The 27,798-nt window shown below is 36.7% G+C and overlaps 1 protein-coding gene across 13 annotated transcripts in view; it reads left to right on the top strand.

Annotated features, from left to right (window-relative positions):
* Positions 1-27,798, top strand: part of PDE10A (phosphodiesterase 10A) — a 660,764-nt gene that overhangs the window by 584,734 nt on the left and 48,232 nt on the right. For 12 of the 13 annotated variants that reach the window (XM_011535387.4, XM_017010194.3, NM_001385079.1 and 9 more), the window contains 5 exons: positions 6,860-7,002; positions 8,055-8,138; positions 10,523-10,673; positions 14,866-15,021; positions 23,953-24,125. In XM_011535387.4, coding sequence (XP_011533689.2) covers positions 6,860-7,002; positions 8,055-8,138; positions 10,523-10,673; positions 14,866-15,021; positions 23,953-24,125 — 707 coding nt within the window. The other variant, XM_017010197.3, reaches the window with a different exon arrangement.

Raw genomic sequence — 27,798 nt, 5'->3', positions numbered from 1 at the left:
GCAAGCCAGTTCGGTGCACCACTGCCACAACAGAAAAGTAGACTCTCTTGTTGATTATCACCAAAATCAAACAAAAGAGCCAAATGATGTGGCAACACAGTGCTGATACCCATCTAAGATAACGGTTGCTGATAGCGCTGAGAGCTTCACAGTCACTGGCCAGTGCTTTTCCTTAGCCTTTCCCCGTGTTATTCCATTGAACGTTACATTCTTGGCTAAGTACTACAGTGTCCTTAGGCTACAGATGAGATCCTGGGGAACAGAGAATTAAGTGATTTGCCTAAATGTATACAATTAGTAAATGATGGACAAGAGATTTGTTCCAAGTAGATGATTCCAGAGTTTAGATTTCTAAGAGTTGCCCGACCCTAAAGTGACTCTAGGTTTACTATGAACATTAATTACAAATATTAGGGTGTCTCATAGACACAGTCATTTCTAAGTGTAATGAGGGTTATTGTGTAAATAGGCCCCAATAACAACATTCTAAATAATCACTAATTAAATATTTTTGTATGCCAGTTGAGTAGGAATGCCATTTTATAAAATGTGAATGGATGTATTTTTAATGTGTGGTAGACATGCTCTTACAGTCCTGTTTCCAGGTTGTCTTTATCGTTTTGTTTTTTGAGCACATATACCTTTTCAATATCCTCGTGCCTAAGACTGATAGGCCATCAAAATATATTTCAGTTTTAGACAAACAGCAGTTTTTTCTGCTAGAATTCTCTTCTACTTGGACAGTGACTCCAAGATTATTTACGCAGTGTTATAGGCAAATAATTTATACAAAATGCACCTAAAAAGACAACATAGTTTTCTACCTTCATCAGTAGTTTGCATGAGTATGATAAAATCATCTACTAATAATCCTAGATTATATTATTTTCTACTATTCATATTAAAGGTCATTTAGAAAATGGGAAGTAATATAAATTTTCTAAAACTAATTATTTTGTGCTGTGATTTTAATTAATTTTATTTTGTAATTAGTGTTATTTACCTACACTGATTACAAATATAAAAATAAATGACTAAAAATTTTAATTTAAATTTTTACGTATTTTCAATATATTAATATCAAAAATTGTAAAAATAATAGAAATAAAATTTATTCTAATTTTAGGTCATAAACATATAAAATGACAATAAAAGGAATAACTATCTTGTAGAAGTTTTGTGAGACATGAAGTAATGCATACAAAACACTTAGCATACTTCCTGGCGCAAGTGCTCAATAGAATTAGTGACTATAGTAGCAGTTAGTTTACTGCCTAGTATAGTTACTCTTACTAACATCTTTACCATAGAATTGCACTGTATTACAGGTAATACCAATTTACAGTAAATACTGAGTAAATCCTGTGGATTGTTCACTTTCCTAGCAGAATCTACGCTATCATCTCTAAAGTGGAAAGCAAGTGACATTCCATTAAGGTATATGAGGACAATGTGAAAACTTGGGTCTTGATATGTTTTTGGGTAAATGATATTAAATAATTTTTTATTGATTGTTAATACATGGATGGAGCTTTCAGAAAGTTCATGCACTAGAAGGTCATGTCTTGTCCAGGAAGCAGTCTCCTCTCACAGAGTGGGCCTTGCGCAGCTAGGAAAAGGTGACAGCAGTGTCCAGCCTATGCTTCTAAACCTATCTGTGCTCTTTCTCAACTTTACTAAGGAAGATTATTTTATCAGTTAGAAAAAAAATCACGGTTATGAAGATGATTTCAGAATGTTCATGCGTTTTCGTTTGTGCTACCCACAGATTTGCCGTTTGCAGCAAAATGCTTGGTACAGTTGTTCAGTTAATAAATTAGGTATACATGCTTCTTTCACAAAAAGACAAAGATTCCAAATTTGCTAACTTCTTCTAATGACAAATGAAAGTATTTAGAAGATATATTCAGAGAAATAACATTTAATCTGAACCCTCAAGTTGCCAGTGACATTAACACTGAATGAAAAAATAATTGGTTTCCAAAGAAATTCATGCTGTGAAGAGAGCACTTTGAAAACAGATCTTTGCCAGTATTTTCATTGTCACGTGACTTTTTTGCTGAAATTTATATGTCATGTATACAAATTATGACATCTATACCCTTAAAAAGACAGAGCAGAAACTTTTAAAATAGTTTCACTGAGGTTTATTGATACACAATAACGTACAACTGTTTAAAGTGTACAACTTAGTATACACACATACCCATGAAACCATCAACATAATCAGTATAATAAATATAGCCTTAGTAATCCCTTTCTTTTGACCCTTCTCATCTTCAGGTGACCATTGATTTGCTTTCTGTCACTATAAATTGCAGTTTCTAAAATTCTTTTGTATAAAGGGAATTATATAATCTGTATTATTTGGCTTTTTTCACTTAACATAATTTTGTGATTCATTGCTGGTGTTGTGTACGTAAACAGTTAATTCCTCTTTATTACTTAGTAGTAGTTTATTGTATGGATATACCATAACTAATTTATTTACTTGTTGATAGATTTTTGAGTGATTTCCAGTTTTTGGCTATTACACTAAAGCTACAAACAAACAGTTGGTCTGTGTACAAGCCTTTAAGTGGCCATAGACTTTCATCTCGCTTGGGTAAAGATTTATGTGTGCAGTGGTGGGTAACATGGGAGGGGTCTGTAACTGTTTAAGAGACTGCCAAACTGTTTACCAAAGTGACTGTACTCTTTTACATTCCATAAATCACAGCATGTGTTCCAGTTCTTCTACATTTGTCATCTGTACACCATCTTTGGTGAAGTGTCTTTTCACATCTTTTGTCCATCTTTTGTTTGTGGTGGTTTGTTTTCTTATTGATTTTTAGTAGCTCTTTATATATTCTGGATACAGGTCATTTTCATTTATCAGATAGATTATTTGTAAATATTTGCTCGCAGTCTTTGGCTTGTCTTTTCATTCTCTTAATGGTTTCTTTCTAAGAGCAAAAGTTTTAAACTCTGAAGAAGTCCAGTTGATCAATTTATCCTTTTATTATGATGTTTAACATTGTATTGAAGAAATACTTGCCTAACCTAAGGTCGTTAAGACATTTCTCCTCTGTTTTTTTTTTCTAGAAGTTTTATAGTTTTAGGTTCTATAGTTAAGTCTATATTCATTTTAAGTAAATATTTGTATATGGTACAAGGTAAGGGTCAAAGTTTTTATTTATTTGTTTATATATTGCTCTTGGATATTTGGTTGTTGCAGCACCACTTGCTGAATCGACTATCCTTTCCTTATGGCCTCGCCTTTGCAGCCTTGCTGAAAATCAGCTGACCGTCTGTGTGGTCCTATTTCTGTATTTAGTTCCACTGATCCGTTTGTGCCCCTTGATGCCACTACCACACTGCTTTAACAATCCCATTACTGGGTATATACCCAAAGGATTATAAATCATGCTGCTATAAAGACACATGCACATGTATGTTTATTGCGGCACTATTAACAATAGCAGAGACTTGGAACCAAGCCACATGTCCAACAGTGATAGACTAGATTAAGAAAATGTGGCACATATACACCATGGAATACTATGCAGCCATAAAAAATGATGAGTTCATGTCCTTTGTAGGGACATGGATGAAGCTGGAAACCATCATTCTCCGCAAACTATCGCAAGGACAGAAAACCAAACACCACATGTTCTCACTCATAGGTGGGAATTGAACAATGAGAACACATGGACACAGGAAGGGGAACATCACACACTGGGGCCTGTTGTGGGGAGGGGGGAGGGATAGCATTAGGAGATATACCTAATGTTAAATGACGGGTTGATGGGTGCAGCACACCAACATGGCACATGTATACATATGTAACAAACCTGCACGTTGTGCACATGTACCCTAAAACTTAAAGTATAATAAAAAAACCTTTATAATAAGTATTGGATTTGGGCAGTATAATTTCTTTACCTTTATTCTTTGTTTTCAGAGTTATTTTGGCTATTCTAGGTCCTTTGAATTTCCATATAAATTATAGAATCAGCTTTTAATTTCCTATAGAAAAGCCTACTGGGATTTTGATTGGGTTGATGTATGAGTAGTTCAGTTGAAAGGGTGGTGTGAAATCTCTAACTATAATTGTGGATTTTTCTATTTGTCTATTTTATTTGCAGTTCTGTCGTTGTTTGCTTCATGTATACCAAAACTATCTTATTAGGTAGTGTAATACTTAGGGTTGTTATATCCTTGTGATGACCTGACCCTTTTGTTATTTGAAATGATTTTCTTTATTTCTAGTAATAATCTTTGTTCTGAAATCAACCTAGCCTGTTATTATTAATAAAGTCGTAACTTTCTTTTGACTGGTATTAAACAGTATATCTTTTCCATCATTTTAATTTTACTCTATGTCTTTATAGTTCGAGTAGAATTCTTGTAAGCAGTATATAGTTGGCTGATACTTTTTTATTCAATCTGACAGTCTTTGACTTCTAGTCATGATGTTTAGACCATTCACATTTTACGTTTAGGTGTAAATCTACCATCTTGCCATTTGTTTTCTATGTGTTTAATCTGTTCTTTATTCCCCCTTTTTTTCTCTCTACCTTTAAAATTGAATTTTAATGATTTTGTTATATGAAGCAGGTTTTAACTGATAGAAATCTTCTCCACAAAGAGTTTTCATTGATTTTGAACCCATATTGGTAATATATAAAAATGTGGCTGATTAGTTTGCAGGGTCAACTGATTGACATAAAGAACAAAGGAAATGCATTTGAATTTCAACCAAACATATTAGTAGTTAGGAAACAAAAATATAAGTGTAATGTTTAAGAACAGCCAATACAACCTTTTTTTTTTTTTTGAGAGAGAGAGAGAGAGAGAGTCTTGCTCTATCGCCCAGGCTGAAGTGTAGTAGTGCAATCTTTGCTCACTGAAACCTCCACCTCTTGCCTCCCTGGTTCAAATGATTCTCATGCCTCAGCCTCCCCAGTAGCTAGGATTACAGGTGTGTGCCACCGTGCCTGGCTAATTTTTCTGTGTTTTTAGTAGAGACAGGGTTTCGCCATGTTGGCCAGCCTAGTCTTGCTGCCTGCCTCTGCCTCCCAAAGTGCTGGGATTACAGGCATTAGCCACAGCCAATACAAACTTTATTCCATTTGGATCGACATACTTCTTAAGGAATATGTTTCTCAAACAGTATAACTGAAAATCTAAATACTGAAATAAATTAAAGTGAACCATCCCTTAGATCATTATCTCCAAAAGTATTAAATAAAGCATTTGATGATTAATAACATTTAAATATAGTACTTTCATTTAAAAATATGTAATTTTTTAGTAAGAACAAAGACTTATTTAGTAAGTAAAATATTTAAAAATATACCCACTTAATTTTAATGTTTCTGATTTCTATGTATGTAAATAATACATGAACACAGTTTGTGTGCACATAATTACTGTGTATTCATTCATTGGGTTTGCATTGCCACAATTTGTTTACTGATAAGGTTTTCACAATCAAACATTTTAGTAACCTCTAGACCAAGAGGACTTTGAGATCACCAAGAAGGAAGCTAAATATTTTTAAATTGTGAAATAAAGAAAGTATCTTTACTCTTGACCCATTTAGCTTCATTCTTTTTTTTTTTTTTTTTTTTTGAGATGGAGTTTCACCGTTGTCGCCCAGGCTAGAGTGCAATGGCGCCATCTTGGCTCACTGCAATCACTACCTCCCAGGTTCAAGCGATTCTCCTGTCTCAGCCTCCCAAGTAGCTGAGATACAGGCGTGCACCCAGCTGATTTTTCTATTTTTTAGTAGAGACAGGGTTTTGCCATGTTGGCCAGGCTGGTCTTGAACTCCTGACCTCAGATGATCCACCTACCTGGGTGTCCAAAAGTGCTGGGATTACAAGGGTGAGTGACCTTGCCCAGCCTTCATTTATATTTTTATGTAGACTGGATAGTCTTACCTATAGATGGTGAACTATCCTTTAGAAAATGTTATTTTAAAAATGCAAAATGTTACAAAAGCTACTCTAGCTTGTCACCACGTTTTCAGTATTAATTTACTTTAGACAGTTCCTAATTAATCTCACCTATTTAATAATTCACAAGTATAAATATTGATCCATTCCTTTGGCTCCACTGCATGTTTTTGTTTTATCTCACATATTAATTTATAATTATTTGTAAAACATTTGCACACAGATACAGATACACAAGATTTCAACTTAACAGGATGGCAAAATGTACCTATCCATTTTCGATTAATGTAATTACCAATTTATATACTTACTCTGTAGACACAGTCTATGACTGACGAATGCAAACCTGTGTTACTCATTTGAGTTCATTGCTGGAACACCAATAACACCCCAAATTCAGTCCTGTTAAGAACAGTAACAATATACAGTCAAGACTAAAAACCAGAGAAGGTAATGATGATAAAACCTTCCCAAGGAAGATGAATTTGATGTGCAGGTGAAATGCAATAATTAAAGGTTTTGTTGTAACAGATTGAGAAATACCTTAGATCTTACGATGATCTTTAAAAGTACAAATATTCATTTTCTGATAATAAAATGTGTTTAATTTTTATTTAAAAATGCGGAAATACAGAGCATTTTAAGGAAGACAAATGCCAAGTAATCTCATCACCCAGAGATAATGTCTGATAAAAATTTGTAAAGCAGAGATACCATTTTTTAAAAAAAGCATTTCTTTTGAATCTGCAAAGTCATGTCTGCACATCCCAGTGCATATGGAAATACGGATAATAATAAATCCACTTTGGTTTTAATTCTAGTTCTGATTCTTTAATACCAAATTCTGAACTTCCGTGACAAAACAGTTTAAATATTCTTTTAATTTTGGGGGTTTTTTTTTTGGATTTGCCTTCTAGATGTATCATAGAATTCGCCACTCAGAGTGCATTTACCGGGTAACGATGGAAAAGCTGTCCTACCATAGCATTTGTACTTCAGAAGAGTGGCAAGGTCTCATGCAATTCACCCTTCCCGTGCGTCTCTGCAAAGAAATTGAATTGTAAGTATGTTGCTCTGTCAGTTTCTTCAGGAACCATTTTTAATTGAATTGAACTTAAAGTGAGACAGATTATAGAATTAGAGTCACAATTATTATACACATATTACATGTGGAGTTTCATGTGTTGCCATTGTCTGCTTCTGAAGTGATTCCAGATATTATGATAGGATTTGGAAATAAAGGCCAGATCTCATTACCTTAAAAAAGAAAATCTGAACTCAGTTTTGAAATGAGTTAACCTAAATGTTAGCATTTCTCATTAGTCTGTTGCATACTTTATACCATTTAATATTTAACACTCAAAATGGCATTTAACAGAAGATATCAAACAGTTCTCATTTCCATATAAATTTAAACTTCCAAATTAAATTCAAGAATTTTGTCATAGTTTGACTCTCATACTGTATTTTTTAACCCTATGTTAATATATTTAAGTTACTAGAGGGTAGGGCCTATGATAATTTGTATGTTTATTGTAAGTGTAAGCCAACACTATCTACATAGGAAACCTTCAGAAGTGACTTAGAGCTAATATTTACCTTACAATTGAAATTATAGTATATATTATACCATACTGTTTATTCAAGTCTAATGTTGGTAACTAAATTAGCAAATGAAAAATAGGTAATAACTCTGGTGTTTATATTAGTGAAATTGTTATCTCAGTTAAAATAGGAGATAGAACAGTTTCAACTCCAAAAATACTTCTGAAAAGGCTTTTCCCCCCTTTTCTATGATTGTATATTTATCTAATATTTGTAATATACCTTTTTGTACTTTTTATTTCTCTGACAACAAATGAAGCATCATTTTCAAACAGATTAATAGAAAATCAATAACTCAAATATTGGACTAGATTTCTAAGGCAATATGTTTAGTTTCTTCCTGGAAATCTTTCAGTAACAGCTATGTGGCTAAGAAGGCAGGAAAAGGGATGGCTGAGCTCCCAGTGTCTTTTTAGCTCCTTGGTACAAACAAGTTAAATGCTTTTCTTTACTTACTGTGTTTATTCTAATCACGTTTAGTGATAAACTGCCCTTTTAAAATTTCAGATTCCACTTTGACATTGGTCCTTTTGAAAACATGTGGCCTGGAATTTTTGTCTACATGGTTCATCGGTCCTGTGGGACATCCTGGTATGAATGACTTTAAAATTTACTTTTTGAAATATTGGGTGACATAACCTCTTCCTCCTTCTACATATATGCCTCACCACGATCTTTGTTTGTAATTATTTTTAAATACTGCATGTATAAATTACTTTTTTTCCTAAATATTCCAATAAAAAAGGGCTGAGATTATTATACAAATATGCAGCCTTTTCAGATTCTCTGTAGGGGCTCTAGCAACATGGTTGTAGCCTGGTTAAAAAATCTGAAAAGCTTTCATAAAAACAGAGGCTAGAGTTTCTTTCAGCTGGGTAACTGAAAGAGACAGGGGTTACTACTGACAAGAATTTTATACAGCTAGTAAACATATGAAAAAAATCTCATCATCACTGGTCATTAGAGAAATGCAAATCAAAACCACAATGAGACACCATCTCACGCCAGTTAGAATGGCGATCATTAAAGAGTCAGGAAACAACAGATGCTGGAGAGGATGTGGAGAAATAGGAATGCTTTTACACTGTTGGTGGGAATGTAAATTAGTTCAACCATTGTAGAAAACGGTATGGTGATTCCTCAAGGATCTAGAACTAGAAATACCATTTGACCTAGCAATCCCATTACTAGGTATATACCCAAAGGATTATAAATCACTCTACTATAAAGACATGTGCACACATATGTTTATTGTGGCACTGTTCATAATAGCAAAGACTTGGAACCAACCCAAATGCCCATCAATGATAGACTGGATAAAGAAAATGTGGCACATACACACCATGGAATACTATGCAGCCATAAAAAAGGATGAGTTCATGTCCTTTGCAGGGACATGGATGAAGCTGGAAACCATCATTCTCAGCATATTAACACAAGAAGAGAAAACCAAACACAACATGTTCTCTCTTATAAGTGGAAGTTGAACAGTGAGAACATATGGACACAGGGAGGGGAACATCACACACTGGGGCCTGTTGGGGGATGGGAGGCTAAGGGAGGGATAGCATTAGGAGAAATAGCAAATGTAGATGAAGGGTTGATGGGTGCAGCAAGCCATCATGGCACGTGTATACCTATGTAACAAACCTGCACGTTCTGCACGTGGACCCCAGAACTTAAAGTATAATAATAATAATAATAATAATAAATGTTTAGAACACCACGTGTAAATTTAGCATCAACTTTCAACCTAACATCATATATCTATTAGAATAGATCGAAAAGAAACATGTCTTCTTATTCAAAGTGTGATACTTTGTCAGTAATTTGATTATGGCACCATTTCATTGCAGATCTTTTCCCCACCCACTTTGGCCTGTCCTAGAGGCCTTTCCTGACTTTATAACTGATCCTTTTCAGTGTAAACACACAATATTTAAATGCAAGGAATAGTTTTCTTTTGCTCTTTTTTACTCATTTAGGAATTAAATGTCTTATAGAGCCTCTTAGTTTCTCTAGAACTAAATTGTCATTCTTCTTGAAGCCTGTGTATTTTCTATCTGTGACTTTTTGTAAATTAGTGTTTCAAAAGGATGAGCATAGGATACCTAACTCCAGTTAATTCTCAGAATGCAGTTGAGAGTTTGACCAGTTGGAATTCTTAAAATGCCATACCTTATACTTCAAAGACATTTGAAAATTTTCAGTGGAGAAAAACACAGGTTACTTTTTTTTTTAAGTTTTTATGAATTCTTGACCTCCCTGGTATTTTAGAAAGCCTTGTTTTATATATGCTTTTGTTTTAAGCTGTCTCAAGTCTATTTTGAGAGTTTGTAGGGTCTTAAATAAGTACATAATATAAAAAATATAAAAATATAGTATAACTATATGTAATAAAATATACATCATATTATTTTATATACTATGTCAGTATTTGGATATGTTCATTTGTGACTTAATAATTTGAGTGTGTAATAAACCTTAATACTTTGGAATTACTTTGAAAGTATAGTAACTCTAGAAAAGTCTCATGATATACATATTTGCAGTTTGCAAGTCTGAATATTCTTTTTGGAAAATATTAGCTCAAAATACCCTTTAGCAAGATGGTGCTGTGTTGTTGTCTTTTGAGCACTGTGGGGTTTAGGAAATGAACGTAAAACTAAAGAAGATCATGAGGGCTGGTGACGGGTGACTGTGTACTAATACTGATATTTTTTCGCTGGTGGGACAGTTACTGTATCACAACAGATACCATAAAAGAGTCTTTATCCTCTTACTTCTTTTTGGCTAGAGAACTGGAAGGGAACTGGTGAATGAGTTTCCAGTGCTCATGGATTCAGTCAGGGTGGAAATCTTTAGAGTTGCAAATGTATAAGGGTACAGACATATATGTACCTAAACTAGGGAGTTCTCCTACAACATAGTGATTCTCTACTGGTTTCAGTCATAACAATTTCTTTTCCATGCAGCTTTGAGCTTGAAAAGTTGTGTCGTTTTATTATGTCTGTGAAGAAGAACTATCGGCGGGTTCCTTATCACAACTGGAAGCATGCGGTCACTGTAGCACACTGCATGTATGCCATACTTCAGAACAATCACACGCTTTTCACAGACCTTGAGGTGGGTGTGCACTCTTTACCTCTGTTTCTCGTAACCTCAGTGGATTTAATACTGTGTGTCAGGAGCACATTGATGACATGGATTTGTGACATGTTATTCCAAGACAAATTTTGGCTTAATAAATCAATAGTAGCCCATTTTTAGACTCTTGTACCCAAACATTTAGCATATTATTTTGTATAAGAAATGTAGATAAAAGAAATTTTAACTTCATCAAAATATCCCCCAAGGAAATACTAATTTTGTAGTCTGTCTTACCTGTTAAAGCTTAAATGTTCTGAAGGGATATAAACAGTGAATTTTATTCATTGCTTATATGCCCTGGATAATGTAGACGTATCCTGCCTATTTGAGAACCTAGAGCATTCAATACTGTGAAGACATAAGTGTTTTTGACCTCCTCTAGCATAAGGAAACTAAAGGATCTGAAATGTTTAATTAATTTGCCTGACTTTAAATACCCAGAGTTAGTGACATATCCAAAGCTTTCGTAATCTCAGAGTTAGAATTGGAGATGGCCACTTCCATTCATCAACCACAGTCAAAGTCCCTTACTTGAAAGCCAGGCTAAATGCTTAGTGACTCCTGGCCACAAAGGATGCTGATTCTACATCTGGACAATCCCGACTTTGAAGGATATCCCTCCCTCTGACCACATTGATCCTGGTAGTATCTACTGACACCTTAGAGGGAGTCCTCCTTTCTCTCCTCTGTAAAAACTGGTATCATCTTTTAGGGGACCTATGACTGTCCAGAGAAAGGAGCTGTCATCTTTGTGATAAATAAATTGTGCTTTTCTCAAATTCACATTTAAACTAGAATCTAGTACTTGTGAAGGTCCATCCTATCCTTTTCCATCCTATTGGACCAAATTCACAATCTGAGTGGAAAACTCAAAAGATGCATTCTAGGAAAAAAATAGTAGCATTTTAAGAAAGAATAAAAAATTATCCTCTAGTTTTTGTTGCTTTTTTTAAAACAATCTTTAGTTCAAGTGGAGTTTAGCCTGATCAGTAATTTATTATTTATCACCTCCCCGCGAAAGATCCACATGAAATCTCTCCTTTTTTCATTTGTTTGTCTTAACAAAGTCCTTTTCTATTGAACCCCATACTGTTGAGACTTTCAGCATTTTCTCCATTCTGTTCCTTTTAAGAAAGCAATTTCATTGTCTTGTTTTGCCATTTTGCCATACCTTGTGAGTTTAAGAACTGTAGAAATTATACTTTCAAGTTGCATTGTAATTTATATTCAAAAAAATTGAAAATTTAACAATAAGTGAGAAAAACTTTGTTGATACATATTGACTCTCATTTAAGTTCCTAATTCATTTTTGGAATTATATCATTACATTTTCCCAAAACATCAGATCGTTTTGGCTGAAAAATAATCCCCAAAATGACATGTAAATATTTAAAACATATTTTATAAAGAAGAAATTTAATCTCTAAAAGAACTGTTAGAAGTTACCATTTGATCTTGTTAAAGGGAAATGCTTAACAAGGGTGATTCTTTATACATTATTTTCAGATGTATGATTCTGGCACACCTTTAATAAAACTACTGAAAGTCACATGAATTTTAAAAATGAGTTTAGAAACTGGAAAGATGATAACTTTTACGTATTGTGCAAGATTGTAAAACTCTTGAGATTTCTTATCAGGTACATCATGATGACACAGCAGCATATAACATGGAAACCACCCCAAAACAAAATGATACTAACAACATAATTAATTCAGTTATCTTAAGAATGCCAGGCGAGTATGATTGTTAACATGATACTTCATGGGGTTAGGGGTTACTGGCGAGATTTCCCTTCCAATTATGTGGCGGGAAAAACCAGTTCAGCATTATCAGGACAAAGAAGCAGGCATATCGCTAAAAATGTACCTGTGAGAACTTCTGCTGACTCCCATCGCAGCACCCCCATCTGTCTGCATCTGCCCTCAGCAGGCTCTGCCTTGCACACTTCCTTAAACCTTCACACTCCTCTCCAGAGCTGACCCTTCTGCTTTATTGTATCTGTCGCCTCCACCTCTTGGAGAACACTGCCTACCAGTGCTTCCCACTCTTCTCTCTCCTCCATTATCATGCTTTCACCCCTCTTTTCTGGATCATTGCCATCTGCATGTACGCATGCAGTTTTTTACTTCCATCTTAGAATATGCTCCGATCTGCCGCTCTTCTCAGCTCCCTCCCTGTTACTTTGCTCTTCTTTGCAGTAAACCCCATGTAAGCATTACCCTATTGACTCTTTCAAAATCCTCTCCTCGCATTCTTTCTGAAAACAACTCTGATCAAGCTTCTGACCTTAACACCCCAGAAAATGCCCTGCTCCAGGTCACCAGTGACCCACACCTTGCGAGATCCAAGGGTTAGTGCTCAGTGTCTTCAATCGAATCCCGGGACATTCGGCACTCTTGGTTTTCCTGCGAATGCACCAGCTGTTCCTCCCTTGGGGTTTTTTGTTTGTTTGTTTTTGTTTTGTTGTTTTTTTCTTAATCCTTCTCTTTCCTCAGACTTAGACCATGCAGTCTGTTCCCCCTTTTCAGGTATAATTTGTCTTTCAAAATAAAAATTGTGATTGTGATTGTTACTAACACATTGAGTCAATATTCTTTAAACACTTCAGTCTTTTCAAGCAATGTTTGGCATAACCTGAATTCCACTCAAAATCCCTTCATGAAAGAATAGAAACTGTCATATGAAATGTGTTGTAATAGGATTTAACCTATAGAGTTCTTTCTTCCCTTCAATTTTTATCAAGTATTTAATTTATCAAGTATTTAATTGCTGGATGATTTATTTTAGAATTGGGAGTACTTGAGAGCTTAGACCTTGACCCTCCTCCAACCTCAAACTACAACCTTGGTGAGCTCAGCCAGTCATGTGGCCTTAAACGCCACATGGGCACTGACAGTTTCATTTCTCTAGCAAAGGCCTATCTCCAGGCCGTGAGGCTTCAGTAGCTGCTACCTGTCAAAACAAAATCTCCACTTGTCAAATCTCCACTTGACTATCAAGTAGACTCCTTCGCCTCAGTCTAAATGTGAGCTCCTGACCTCCCTCCTCAAACCCATTCCACCTGCAGTCCTTCCATATCAGTTGATGGTAATCATTATAGCTTCTAAGGCCAAAACATTTGAGGTCATACTTGACCCCTCCTCATGTCCTTTCTTTTCACACTCTGACAGTCAAAAAATCCTGTTGGTTCTGCCTGCAAAATGCATCCAGACTTTAATCACCCCATAGAAGCTTTCACTGTTATTATCCTGGTCTAAAGCTCTATTACATTTTGCCTCAATTACTTTAGAAACCTCCTCACTGATCTCTCATCCTCCTGGAGTCTGTTTTCCACACAGTTGCCAGAATAATCTTGTAAATATATAAGCAAGATGGTAACACTGCTCTGCTAAAAACCGTGTAATAATAGTTCCCCAGATCACTGAGAATATAAGCCTTTTATGATGACTGCTTCCCCTGCCCTCGACCCCACTGGCCACCGTCCTGATCCTCCGAGTCTCAGGGCACACTCGCCTTCAAGTTTATGTTGTTACTGCTCCCCTGCCCGGCGTGCTCTTCTCCCACACTGCGCTTGCCGCTCTCCTTACCCTGTTTCGGGTCTTTGCTCACACCTGGCCTTTTCATGAGGTGTGCCTGCCTAGTTTATTTCATACTCAGCCTGACTTTCTCTAATTTCCTTTAGCCTGCTCTGCCTTTTTTTCTATATATTTGCCATTTTTACATGCGATATGATTTACCTGTTATATTTATTGTTTATAATAGCAATAGCATTGTTAGAATTTAACATTGAATAGATTTTGCTGAAACTGACCTTTCTTTCCTTGTGCAGATTTGCTTTATCTGTACTTTTTTGGAACATTTGCTTTATACCTTTAAGTTGATACCTCCTGCACCTTTTCCTAGAGTTGAGAGAGAAACTCAAAAATAATTTGACTATCAGATTCCTAAGCAGAGAAACAAAGAAAGGGCCTACAAATGAGTTAGATTATCTGGAATTTCCAAGATTCCTAAGGGTTTGCTCTATTTGTATAGGATTCTTTATGCCAGAATGCTGTATTTGTGCTATATTAATGCCAGAAAGTAATGTGACATGAATGTAAGCGGTAAGTCTGCTCATGTGTGTTTCTGTGTTTTGAGCATCTCTGCATCATATTATTTTTTAAAGCGCAAAGGACTGCTGATTGCGTGTCTGTGTCATGACCTGGACCACAGGGGCTTCAGTAACAGCTACCTGCAGAAGTTCGACCACCCTCTGGCCGCTCTCTACTCCACTTCCACCATGGAGCAGCACCACTTCTCCCAGACTGTGTCCATCCTCCAGGTGAGTCACTGCACGCCGTCTCTCGCTTAGTCTGAAGGGCTGTCTGGGAGATAGGGATACTTCATAGGTGGAAAAGGAAGATCATTATGGCTTCCTTAAAAGCAACAGCTACTTTTTATTGTAGAACCTTATATTTATAGTCATCATTAAATAATAGTGTTTTTTGCATAAAGAATCCTTTACAAATAATTTGAATATATGTATTTTGCAATCACATTTGTTTTTTAAACATTATATCAGTAAGTACCTGTAACCCTAAAGCAATACTTATTTTACATAGTTTAAATCAATTAATTATATAGATTATCATATTCTTGAACAAGAAGATATTGAACAGCAAATCTTAAAAGTTAGCTAAATATAAGGTTTTAAATGCATTGTAGCCTTTCTTTTTTTACACTGTATGTTTTGTTTATTTATTTTATTGTCTTTAAGATGTTCTTGGTAATTGATGTAGACAATCACAGACATCACTTCAACATGGGATATATACGCTCCTTCTTTCTTAAATGATTTTTCTCAAACTCATCTTATCAAGGTAGCTATTACATCATAGTGACTTGATTCCTATCACAAACAATGTTTAAAAATATAATCTGGGTTTGGCTTAAGTATAGTGGGCCCTATATTTTCCTCTCACTGTCAGCACCTCTAAGTAGGAAGAGAAATCCTCGTTAGGTCTTCCAATGATGTGTCTAAGGGAAAAGGTTTTGAGTTTTTAGGATGTCACAGCAAAATGCCAGCAGTGACTCTGCCAGTAACTGGCCATAGGCAAGTTGCGAAGCAGAAAAGCTTTTGCCACTTGGTGCAGTTTTTCTCTGTTGAATAGGCCAGGCCTCCTCTAAATGCCAGGATTTTTTTTTCTCCCCTCAGTTTCCCAAAGGCTTCTCTTAGTGCCTCCTCATTTAACTGTCCACGTGATTGGTAGTGCTGCCTGCTCAGTCCTTTTTAAAACCCAGCAAAACTGACCTGTCCAGGTCTCATGTCCTCAGGCCTACGAAGGTAAATGATGAACTTACTCTATTGTGGGTGCTCTTCGAATTATCTTCTGGGTAGAAGTGAAAAGTGTTTCAGATATGGAGCTATTTGAGTCATTTTCAAGCCATCCCCAGTAGGTAGCTGATGTTGAGCTTGCTCATGGTTCAGTTTGGTCGTGAAAGCAACATGTAGTCATCATTCCTATCATTTGCTTGACACCAGCTCTTTCCTTTTTAAATGACATATGTTTACATAGATACATACATACCGGCATAAAACAAGCATACATAGAAATTTTTTTTTTGAGACAGAGTCTCGCTGTGTCGCCCAGGCTGGAGTGCAGTGGCGCGATCTGGGCTCACTGCACGCCCCGCCTCCTGGATTCACGCCATTCTCCTGCCTCAGCCTCCCAAGTAGCTGGAACTACAGGAGCCCACCACCATGCCCGGCTAATTTTTTTTTTTGTATTTTTTTTTTTTTTAGTAGAGCTGGGGTTTCATTGTGTTAGCCAGAATGGTCTCAATCTCCTGACCTTGTGATCCGCCCGCCTCAGCCTCCCAAAGTGCTGGGATTACAGGCGTGAGCCACCGCGCCTGGCTGCATACATAGAAATTTAAGCAGGATAAAAGGCTTGTGTGTATATGTATGTGTACATATATTTACACATATATGTAAAACATGCTTTTTTGTAAATGGATGAACATTCTAAAACTTTATGACAGCTAATGTCTACTTTGACCTCATTCATCATTGGAGACTATTTGTTTGTTTAAGAAGAATAAACGCCAGAAACAACATCAGGATGACTTCACTTAAAAATAATTAGGAGTCACTGAATTAGCATCCCATGCCCTAAATGAATTCATGCATTTGACAGTACAACATTGCTAGCAGTTTAATCACAGCTGAATTTTAATAGCCAATATAGAGTTTCTTTAGAAAGGCTGTATTAAATATAATAGGATTAGTTTTGAAGGAGGCCAGATTGCAAAGTTTATTGCCCCTGAGCAGAATAATAAATAAACCTTGTAATATAGCAGTCACATCAAGGCAGGTGGGGATGGTGAAGCTCCAGGTCCACCTAAACCCTAGGAAGACTTGGCCCAGTTGCTGCCATCAAAAATGGAGGTTTAGGGTGGTTTGCCTCCATTTTGGCAAACCCTCCGCGATGTGGGGCTTGCAGATTACTTAAGGCGGTGTTCCTAAAAACAGATCAGAACTAGTAACAGGAGCTCATGGCAGTAAGTTAAGTTCAGACAGGTAAGCTGTTGGCATTCAAAAAGGCATGGGAGAATAGGTTCAGATATTAGAGCTGGAATTTCAGTCATTGGTGAATTAATAATAATGACAAATTTGTTCTGCGTAGAGAAGATAAGGTGCTAGGTACATTGCAAAAACAGAAGCTGGGAATAAGGATTAGGGATTGCTGCGAATTCAGATGAAAAGCACTGCCAGTTTGAAAACAAATTTATATGTTCGATTGACCAAATCCCTTCAATTTGAGCTACGCCCAGAGAGAAATAATATTGGGGCCATAAACAGACAACCCAATCTACATGGGCAGGAACATTCAGGGAAGAGTGTCTTCCTCTTCGGAAAATTTCTGTACACTTGGCTGATTTTGCAGTAATCCTCATGATACTTCTCTGAGTGTTTTTTTGGATTCATCTAACTGGTCCCTGAAATCCAATTTAATAACAAACATACTTACTGAGCACCTTCTATTTGCCAACAACTGTTTTAGGCACTGGGGATATAGTGATAAACAGAGCAACCACAAATCCCTGTCCTCTGGAACTCACCGTCAGAGTGAGGAAGGCCTGAGTCCCCTGACTTCTGCCCTTATGTTGTTCTTCTCATTGGCCCACCACCTGGCACACCTGTGGCTCTGACAGTGGTGCCCTGAGGACTCTCGTACCCATGTAATTCTGCCTAGTGCTCAATAGGACTTCTGCCCAAGCAGTTGAACCCTGTATTCAGTATGCCCGAATTGTGCTTGGTATTATACTTATTTAGGTGCCTTTTGTATTTTATATCTCTGTGGTGGCAATCTCATTGACCCAGGAATGCAGGCTGATGACCTTAGAGTCATCATTTTTCCCTTCTTTAGCTTTATCTTCCCATCCCTCCATCCTGTTACCACCAAGTCCTGCTGATTTTATGTTTCATCAAAAGACACCTACAAGCTTGACTAATTAAGATGCTATCCTTGGGTAACAGTTAAAAATTCCAACTTCCAGTCATTAAAATAAGAACAATATATAGTTTCATAATATGAATACCTGTGATACTTCTGTTTATCCACAAAAGACTTTTCCCATTGCTTTCTTGATCTGCATTGCCACACAGATGATTACGAGCATGGCGCTGCCCATCCTCTGGCCACACAGACAGATAGGACGTAAGCAATTTTGTGTATGATGGTTGGAAATAGTTCCTCATCAGGCATCTTCACAGGTGTGTGTTGCATATGTGGCTGCTTATTATAGTTTTGCCAACCTGAGTGCCAGCTTTCACTATGGCTGCCAGTGGTATCTACTGGATAAGCAGGGCATTCAGAAGAGTACTGCTGGCTAACACAGTGACAACAGCAAGCAAGGAGAATAATACAATAGACTTGAAAAGCTAACCTTTAGTCGCCCCCCCCCATACACACACACACACACACACACACACACACACACACACTCACTCACACATACACACACACGTTACTCATGGTAGGGAAAAGCAGGAAGTGGGTATTTGCTCACAGCTTGCCTTGACCTTGGTCACAGTGATAGGGATGCAGTAGATAATCCCGTGTTGAGTGGGCAATGGGAAGAGATTAAGTCATGAAGTAAGGGTAAATACAAGAGCATCTGCAGAGAAGGTCAGTCTGCGTTCTCATTTTTCCCTGAGCTTCCCATTGTGCCTTAATGCTGGCCATCAGGATTGTTTTCATGGTGTTTGGGGCCCGTCGCTGTGTAGAGCTCATGGTGGACATTTAGCAGACAGGAAAGTCCCTTGAGTCTCTAGTAAATGGTAATCTGGCCCCTCTGACCACTACAGCTCCCAAGTGGCAAGCACCATCCCTACTTGACATCTCGGTTTCAGCCTTCATCGTATTTTGTCTGTTTTTCCGCCTTTTCCTCCTCATCCATCACTGTTTCTCCAAGTGTTTGTGTCCCAAATCCGTCCTCCAAGTATATGTCTGAATATGTTTTTCTCCTGTTTAAAAGTCATTAGTGACTCTCTGGGGCCTCTGGAATAATTTCCTGTTTTCTTAGTGGATATACAAGTCTTTCATGAGTGGCCCCTGTCTGTTCCAGGACTACAGATCTGCTCTGCTTCTGTAGTTTCAGACCGTATCTTAACCCTGTGCCATTGGCCGGGTTCTCTCTACATGTAATTACCCCACACCCTTTCTTGTGGCCCCCCACTCAGGCATGACCTCATCCTGTAAAATTCTTTGAGTGTATCCCCACATGACTGGGGTACAGCACTGCCCCCTTTTACATAGCGCCTGAGCACCTCAAGCATACATACATCTTAGTGTTTTGTTTGTTTTTTTGTTTTTAACACTGTATTGAAGTTTTCTGTTTGTGAGTTTAGCTTCCCACTTCTTCTGAATTAGAAGCTGATGAGGAGAGTCACTGCCCCTTCTTCACCTCTGGACTCACAGGCCCACCTCTGGGGCTGTTGATATGGGCACAAGTGGAAGTGTGAAGGTAGAGCATGGGGAGGGGAAGATGCAGAGTGGGCAGAACCAGCACTCAGAGACTGAAACTGAAGCTTTACGTGAGGAAAGTGAGTAGCTGTGTCCGGTGGGGCAGAGAACTGAGACACTGAGCAGGGGAAGAAGGCAAGCAGAATGCCTTCATGTGAGCAGACTGTTTTGTGTGGACAGTCACATCCAAGAACGTAGGTGAGCTTTGTTTTCTTGCCTAAAACTTACTAGCTTACAATTAGTAATGGTAATTGAATCATTATTGCTGGAATATTAAATCAATTTATTCTGTTTACTCATAAGATATGAATGATTATTTTGAACATTGAAACTATACTTTTTCTTTGCCTTTTTTAATAGCCCATTTTGACTTTAAAAATAGTCAAAATTTTAGAAAACAGACCAATTAGGAATGATTATTCTCATTATTGAGAACATTTTCTTAATGTTCCACTAATCTTAAATTATCTGTTGCTTTTGAAATGTGATCATATTTCAGAAAGTTATCTATTTATACCAACATTTTGGGATCCCGTGACTTCTTACTACTCTTTATAGAAGCACTATTTCTGTTACTTAGCTAGAGAGTTCTTCCAATTCGTCTGCACTAGATACAATTTGCTGTTGTATATTACAATTATAGCAAAATTATTGTACTTATATTCAACACTACCTGTACTGGTAATCTAAAATATATGACAAAGTGGCTAGTTTAAATCCGTCCTTTTCTACAGCTGTGTTCTGAATAGAAAAGGTATTTGGCTATCAAATTCTCTTTTAGGCATATATTTGTTTTTTCATCTGTCTTTCCTTTTTTAACTCTGACTGTGGAAGTTGTACTGGTAGATTTTATCATCATCATCATCATCATCAATCATCACTATTATAATAGTAATCGTTTTATCATGTATTGGGTACTTACAATGAACCAGAAACTTAAATATTTTGTACATATTTTAATACAGTTTATTTTTATTATATCCCCATGAGATAGGTATTAATTTATTTTCATTTTACAGATGAGAATAATATGCATCAAGGAGGTTAAGTAATCTATTTGTCACATAACTAGTAAGTGGCAGAATGACATTAAAAGATAGAATTATTTGGCTCCAAAATCGGTGCTCTTAATTACAGTACTATAATGCTCCCTAATATGTGGTTTCATGTACTAGGTAATTAACTTTCAAAATCAGTATTCTATGTATTGTAAAGGCATTGCCATCATGAATGTTTGATGCGCTTAGTTGCATCGTTGACATTTTTTTCCAAAAGCGGTGGTTCCCTAATCCCCCAGCAGTGGACAGAATACTAACAGCCTTTAGGATCCTTATGATTAAGGGCTGGAAGGAGTGTTGAGAATCATCTATTCAAGGCAGTCCCTGGGTCATCTTTCAGCGTCAGCACCAATTTCAACATTGTTTCCATTCTCTAATATCAGATCTCAGCCACAGCATTTACATACAACCAGAGCCTCCCTGTGTGCTTCCATAGAGTTAAGAATTACATGCTGTTCACCCACGTTAAGTTTTAGAAACATTCGTGGGTGTAAAAAGTCTACTATTTCATGCTTGATTTATGCAAAATGGAATCAACTAGCTTGAATTAACATAGACTTCAAACTATGTAACTATAGTAAAATTATCAATTGGTGTATAAAAGTATTATAATGCATTATAAGGATTTATTATGTGTTAACAAATGTGAGGTTGGAGGTTTAAAGAAGATACTGTTTGTCTGCTATGCTTCATTGCTTGTATCTCCCTTCCTTATTTTCTTTAGTTTGGATAGCAGCAAAATGCTAGATTCTCTTAAAGTAAAGGGAGACGTGGCCGGGCGCGGTGGCTCACGTCTGTAATCCCAGCACTTTGGGAGGCCGATGCAGGCAGATCACGAGGTCGGGAGATGAAGAGCATCCTGGCCAACATGGTGAAACTCCGTCTCTACTAAAAATACAAAAAAAAAAAAAAAAAAAAAAATTAGCCAGGTGTGGTGGTGCGTCCCTGTAATCCCAGCTACTCTAGAGGCTGAGGCAGGAGAATCGCTTGAATCCAGGAAGCAGAGATTGTGGTGAGCAGAGATCCACTCCAGCCTGGTGACAGAGCGAGACTCTGTCTCAAAGAAAGAAAAGGGAGATATTTATTTTTTGTTTGTTCATTCATTCCCTTTACTCTTGTAAATTATTGAAGGGGACAGTAAATGAGTTAGACCTTTTTATTATAAAAGCCCTCTATGGAGCTTTTTCACCTAGTTTCCTTTAATACTGAAAAGTAATGACTCCAAAGTAGTCAGTAGAATATATACATTCTTTAAAATAAATCTTAACTTGCTTTGGGACAGTCGACACTTTTGGGACTCTGATAAAAACATGAGCTTACAGATGACATATCCAGTGTGTAGAATTGCAGTGAGTTTATAACTCTTTTGTCCCCCTACAGAATTTACAGAGCCTAGGCTAAGGAGACCCTATTTTAGAGATATTTCTTTTTAAATGTCAACAGCAGACTAGAATATTTTATATATTATAATTTAACAGGTTATGGTGATAATTATTGGTGATAAAGAGAGTAAAGCATACAAATACAAAGCACAAAATTGTATCAGCTGTGATTCCCTTCACATGACCTGCTGAAAGCAGATGTGTGCGTGAGCACCAGCCAGACATGCTGAAACATGTTCATGAAGTGGGAAATAGAGGTGACAGGCATTCAGTGTTGATGCAGGAGCTACCTGCTTCACGTGAGTTACGGTCACTTCAAAGGAAAGCAGATACCATAGCATGAATCAATATTTCCTTCTTAGAACTTTCTACAACAAAATTGAAGAGAGTCGAGCTTGGATGATTATTGAGTTCAGCCACCAGCCCAAAGCCTGAGTCCCCTCCCGTTGTCCCCATCAGTCACTAACCAGCCTATGCTCAAACGGCTCATCTCATAGCATCTCATGTACAATCCATGTGGGAACTCTGAACTAATATAAGTTTTATAATTTGAAAGTGAAGTCGTGTGTTTCAAAGTGCTTTGTAAGCTGTAGAACTTTCTACAAATGTAAGGTCTTACTACTATTATTGTCAGGAAAATAAATAACTAGACCTGAGTCCATTTGCTGCATTTATCATACAATAATTCAAATACTTCTAAGACTTTAAGAGCAAATAATATGGAACTGTTCTGATAATTGAAAACAAATGGTGCATGTACAATTTCATTTAAGAATATGAAGAGACAGTGTCTTAGTGAGATGTCTAATTTTTTAAAGAAATATGCTTCAATCATTGTGTTTTTACTGTATTTTAACTCAATAAATGTATATTAAGAAAAGTGAAATTAATTGAAAATCAACTTAGAGTAGTACTATATTGACCAATAATGAAATAATATCAAAATAATTGATGAATCTGCAAATTGACTGCATCTTAATTATCTCAAACTTTTTAGTTTCAACAAAGGGTTTTTTTCCCTCAATTACAAATAAAAACCTTAAAATTTCCACAGGAATAAATTATTATAAAGTTTTTAAAAGATTAATACACGAAGGATATTCTGAGCCAATAGAATCCAGATTACCAGTGTTCTGGTGTTGTGTAGGGTGATGATCTGCCATTCCCACCTCCCTTGGGAATAGAAGATGGTCCTAGAATTGTCGTAGCTTCAGTGATTTGTGTTGTAGGGAAAGGTACTCTTGCCCTTAGAGTTTTTAATGTGTTTGAATAAACATTTTATTGAGGTTGTAGGACATTTTCTTCTAGGATACAGAGAAATATATTACTGTCTATTAAGCATGTTTTGGTATGTTACAACCTGAAGTGGACAAGGATATAGATGCCTTTTTTAGCCCATTAAGGTTCTAGTATAATACAAAAATTACTGAAGTTTTTAATTAGCTTAAGAGGAAAAGTCTTTAACTTAAATATTTTACATTTTCAAGTTTTTTTAAACTATTAGAAATATCCAAGAACTAGATATATTTAAATCACTGGGGTTTTATGGTAGTAAATGATGTTATTATAGTTGCAATAGTTTATTTAAGTGGTAGCTTCATTGTTTCTGTAGCTTAAAGAGAAACCAAAACGCAGTTTTCGTTAGTCATTTCTAACTATTCAAAAAAAACAAAAGTTACCCCAAAACCTTTCATTAGTGTGCCAGATGTCATTGACTGACTATATAGTTTCAAATAACTAAAAATGTCATAAGATTAGAGCTTGTGCTTGTTATTGGTGGTTTTTATTTGTATTTTTTCCCTAGTTGGAAGGGCACAATATCTTCTCCACTCTGAGCTCCAGTGAATATGAGCAGGTGCTTGAGATCATCCGCAAAGCCATCATTGCCACAGACCTTGCTTTATACTTTGGAAACAGGAAGCAGTTGGAAGAGATGTACCAGACCGGATCACTAAACCTTAATAATCAATCACATAGGTAAAAATAATTTTTAAAAGCTTAGAAGCCCAGAAAGTGTTATCTGGAATAAATTGATACTTAAGAAATGTAATGTGGCGTAAGCTTATATTTGAAAGAAGGAATGTAAAAAATTTACATGTTTTTCACTTTATGTACATCTTGTTTATATTTACTTTAGATGCTTTGTTGTTTGACAAGATTGCTGGCAATGTCTAGTGAGGATAATCAAAATACAGATTGGAAGTTACACTAATCACACAGGGATTGGCAACTTTCAAAGGAAAGGCTGGAATGATGTTTCTCCAAGAGGTCCCTTCTTGCATTGATCAGCATTCAGGGTCTGGCCATTGGCCTCAGAAACTCAAGAGCAAATGAAAATGGATTCTATTTCCAGAATCCAGTCCTATTAAGCAAGCTAATGTGATTGGTGTAGAAACTGGACTCCCCTTTTATTGATCTGTAATTGTATTAGGCAGTCACAAGGGTCAGAATATTGGCATCCCATGGGGTAGAAAGCCAAGTAGCAATGAAAAGTTTATTTGGTGAACATGGAATTACAACAAGGAGGATTAGATAAATTAGATATCCTAATGGAATCAGGCTAAATTAGTCTGATGCCCTTTTGTTTTTGAGGATGGGTGTCTTGCCTAGTGGATTCAGAAATAGGTCAGGTATGTTCTTTATGAACCTGTTCACCCATCTGTATATTAGATCAAAGTTCATTGGCTAACCTGCCATCTCCCCTTGACAATTTGTAGTGGTAACACTAGCTTTTATTTCTGTGGCTTTCCTGTTCCTGTTTGCATGTCTGACCAACTTCTGCTTAAGTGAGGACATCTTTATCCCTAGGCTGGTGAGCACTTACTTACTGCTTCTTTGCCACTCTTGCTGAATTTGGATTTATACTTTTTGTTCAGGTGTTCTGTATATCTCCTCTGTGATTCATTAAGTACTGATCCTACATTTTGTTCTTTGGGACAGACTGTTTTAAAGTTCTTAGAAATAATTCACTATTCTCTCAGGTACACCAAATACAAAATGTTGGTTTTACAAATGACTATAGATATCTAATAAAGTTTACCTCTTCAAGAATAAGTACCATTTGTATAATGATATTGATGCTTTTGGATAAGCAGCAGTTATTTGTGATTCAACTTACCTTCAAACTGGATGGATCCAGATTTTGTAGAGCTTGAAACTGATACAATTTAGGGAACCTTATTTAAGAAAAACAATACAAAGATATCTTATTTTCACACATGGCAGTCTGAGGACATTGCCAGGGCCTCTTCCTGGACCACAAAGAGGGATGGTATCAGGGAAAAGCCCCTAAACATCAATTAGGGTGTTCTAGCATGTCTTTCTTTTCCTTCAGCCCACATGAGAAGTGTGGTCTACAGTCTTTATGTCTCCAACAGGTTGTGTGTAGTCCTTGTTCCAAGACATGTAGAAACAGGTGTTTGTTCAGTTTTTTTTTATGGCAATCAGAAGATCAGGGAAATAGAGCCTTCATGAAATATCCCTTGGTTTCCTGAAACCCATACACTTTCTTTTTTTTCTTCTGGGGTTGTAAATAAGAATCATGTAACTAGTATCCAGCCTCTTGAATATAATCTTTTCAGCAGAATGATTACAATGATTATTATAATATAGGAAATTTAAACATTCACCTAAAAATAACAACACTTTTGGTACCCATGTACATACGTGGTAGTGGTGCATGTTTAAATAATTTTTGACATATAACTTGAAAAGCAATTAAAACAAATATGCATTGAAACATGCATTGAAAGGCAATGCATGTTTGTTTTAATAATTCAAATAATATAGAGGTATAAAAAAGAGTAATATTCTATTTTTCTGCATTCCAGTAGCAACTGTCTATTTCCTGTAATGTCATCTTAGGCATTTTTCTATGATTTTTCAAAGGTAGGGGTGTGTGTGTGCGTGTGTGCATACAGTATGTTCAAGCATAACTCAGATGTATTGTAAAAGAAATTTCATAATAAAGCAAGTCACACAAACTTTTTGGTTTCCCAGTGCATATAAAAGTTGTATTTACACCATGTGTTCTACTAAGTATGCAATAACATCATGCCTAAAAAATACACACCTTAATTTAAAAATGCTTTGTTGCTTAAAAATGCTAATGATCATCTAAGACTTCAGCAAATCATAATCTTTTTACTGGTGAAGGGTCTTGCCTCAGTATTGGTGGCTTCTGACCAGGGTGGTGGTTGCAAATCATAGAACGGTAGGGATGCATGTGGCAATTTGTTTTCTTCTCCTTCTTTTTTAAAGATGGGGTCTTGTTCAGCCTGTCAACATGCAGTGGCATCATCATAGCTCACTGCAGCCTCAAACTCCTGGGCGCCAGGGATCCTCCTACCTCAACCTCCTGAGTAGCTAGGACTACAGGCACACACCACCATGCCCAGCTAATTTTTTTCATTTCTTATTTTAGAGATAGGGAATTGCTGTGTTGCCCAGGCTGGTCTCAAACTCCTGGCCTCAAGCAGTCCTCCCACCTCAGCCTCCTGAGTAACTGGGATTACAGGCCAGAGCCGCTGTGCCCAGCCTGGATGTGGCAGTTTCTTAAAATATGACGAGAGTGAAGTCTGTCACATCAATGGACTCTTCCTTTCACAGAAAATTTCTCTGCAGCTTATGACGCTGTTTGATAGCATTTCACCTGCAGTAGAACTTCCTTCAACATTAGAGTCAGTCCTCTCAGACCCTGCCCCTGCTTTGTCAAACAAGTTTATGGAATATTCTAAATCCTTTGCTGACATTTCAACCATGTTCACAGCATCTTCACCAGAAGTAGATGTCATCTCAAGAAACTTTCTTGGCTCATTCATAAGAAGCACCTCATCCGTTCAAGTTTGATCATGATTGCATCAGTCATCATTTTCAGGCTCCACTAGTTTCTACCACATCTGCAGTTTCTTCCTCCACTGAAGTCTTGAAGCTTTGACTACCTCCTGTGAATCATGAATGTTCTCAATGGCATCTAGAATGGTGAATCTTTTCCAAAAGGTTTTCAATTCACCTTTCCCACATTCATTGGAGGAATCACTGTCTATAACAGCTATATTCTTACAAGATGTATTTCTTAGATAATAGGACTTGAAGGACAAAGTTACATTTTGATCCATTAGCTACAGAATAGATGTTGTGTGAACAGGCTTGAAAATGCATTAATCATGTGCATGTCCATCAGAGCTCTTGAGTGACTTGGTTCATTGTCAATGAGCAGTAACATTTTGAAAGGAACCTTTCTTTCTGAGCAGTAAGTTTTGATAGTAGGCTTAGAATGTTCAGTATATCATGCTCTAAACAAATGTGCTGTCATTGAGGCTTTGTTGTTCCATTTATAGAGCACAGACAGAATTGACTTAGCATAATTCTTAAGGACCCTAGAATTTTTGAAATGGTAAATAATCATTGGCTTTACCCTGATGTCACCAGCTACATTAGCCCCTGACAGGAGTCAGCTCATCCTTTGAAGCTTTGGAGCTAGACATTGACTTCTCCTCTCTAGATATCAAAGTCCTAGATGTCTCTAATAGATGTTTTGTCTATACTGAAAATCTGTTATTTAGTTGAGCCACCTTCATCCGTTATCTTAGTTAGATCTTCTGAATAACCTGCTGCTTTTACATCAGCACTTGCTGCTTCAGCTTGCACT

This window comes from Homo sapiens, chromosome 6 (assembly GCF_000001405.40).
Source record: "Homo sapiens chromosome 6, GRCh38.p14 Primary Assembly".
NCBI lineage: Eukaryota > Metazoa > Chordata > Mammalia > Primates > Hominidae > Homo > Homo sapiens.
Note: the sequence above shows the minus strand (reverse complement) of the source record. Positions and strands in the feature narration are given on the sequence as shown.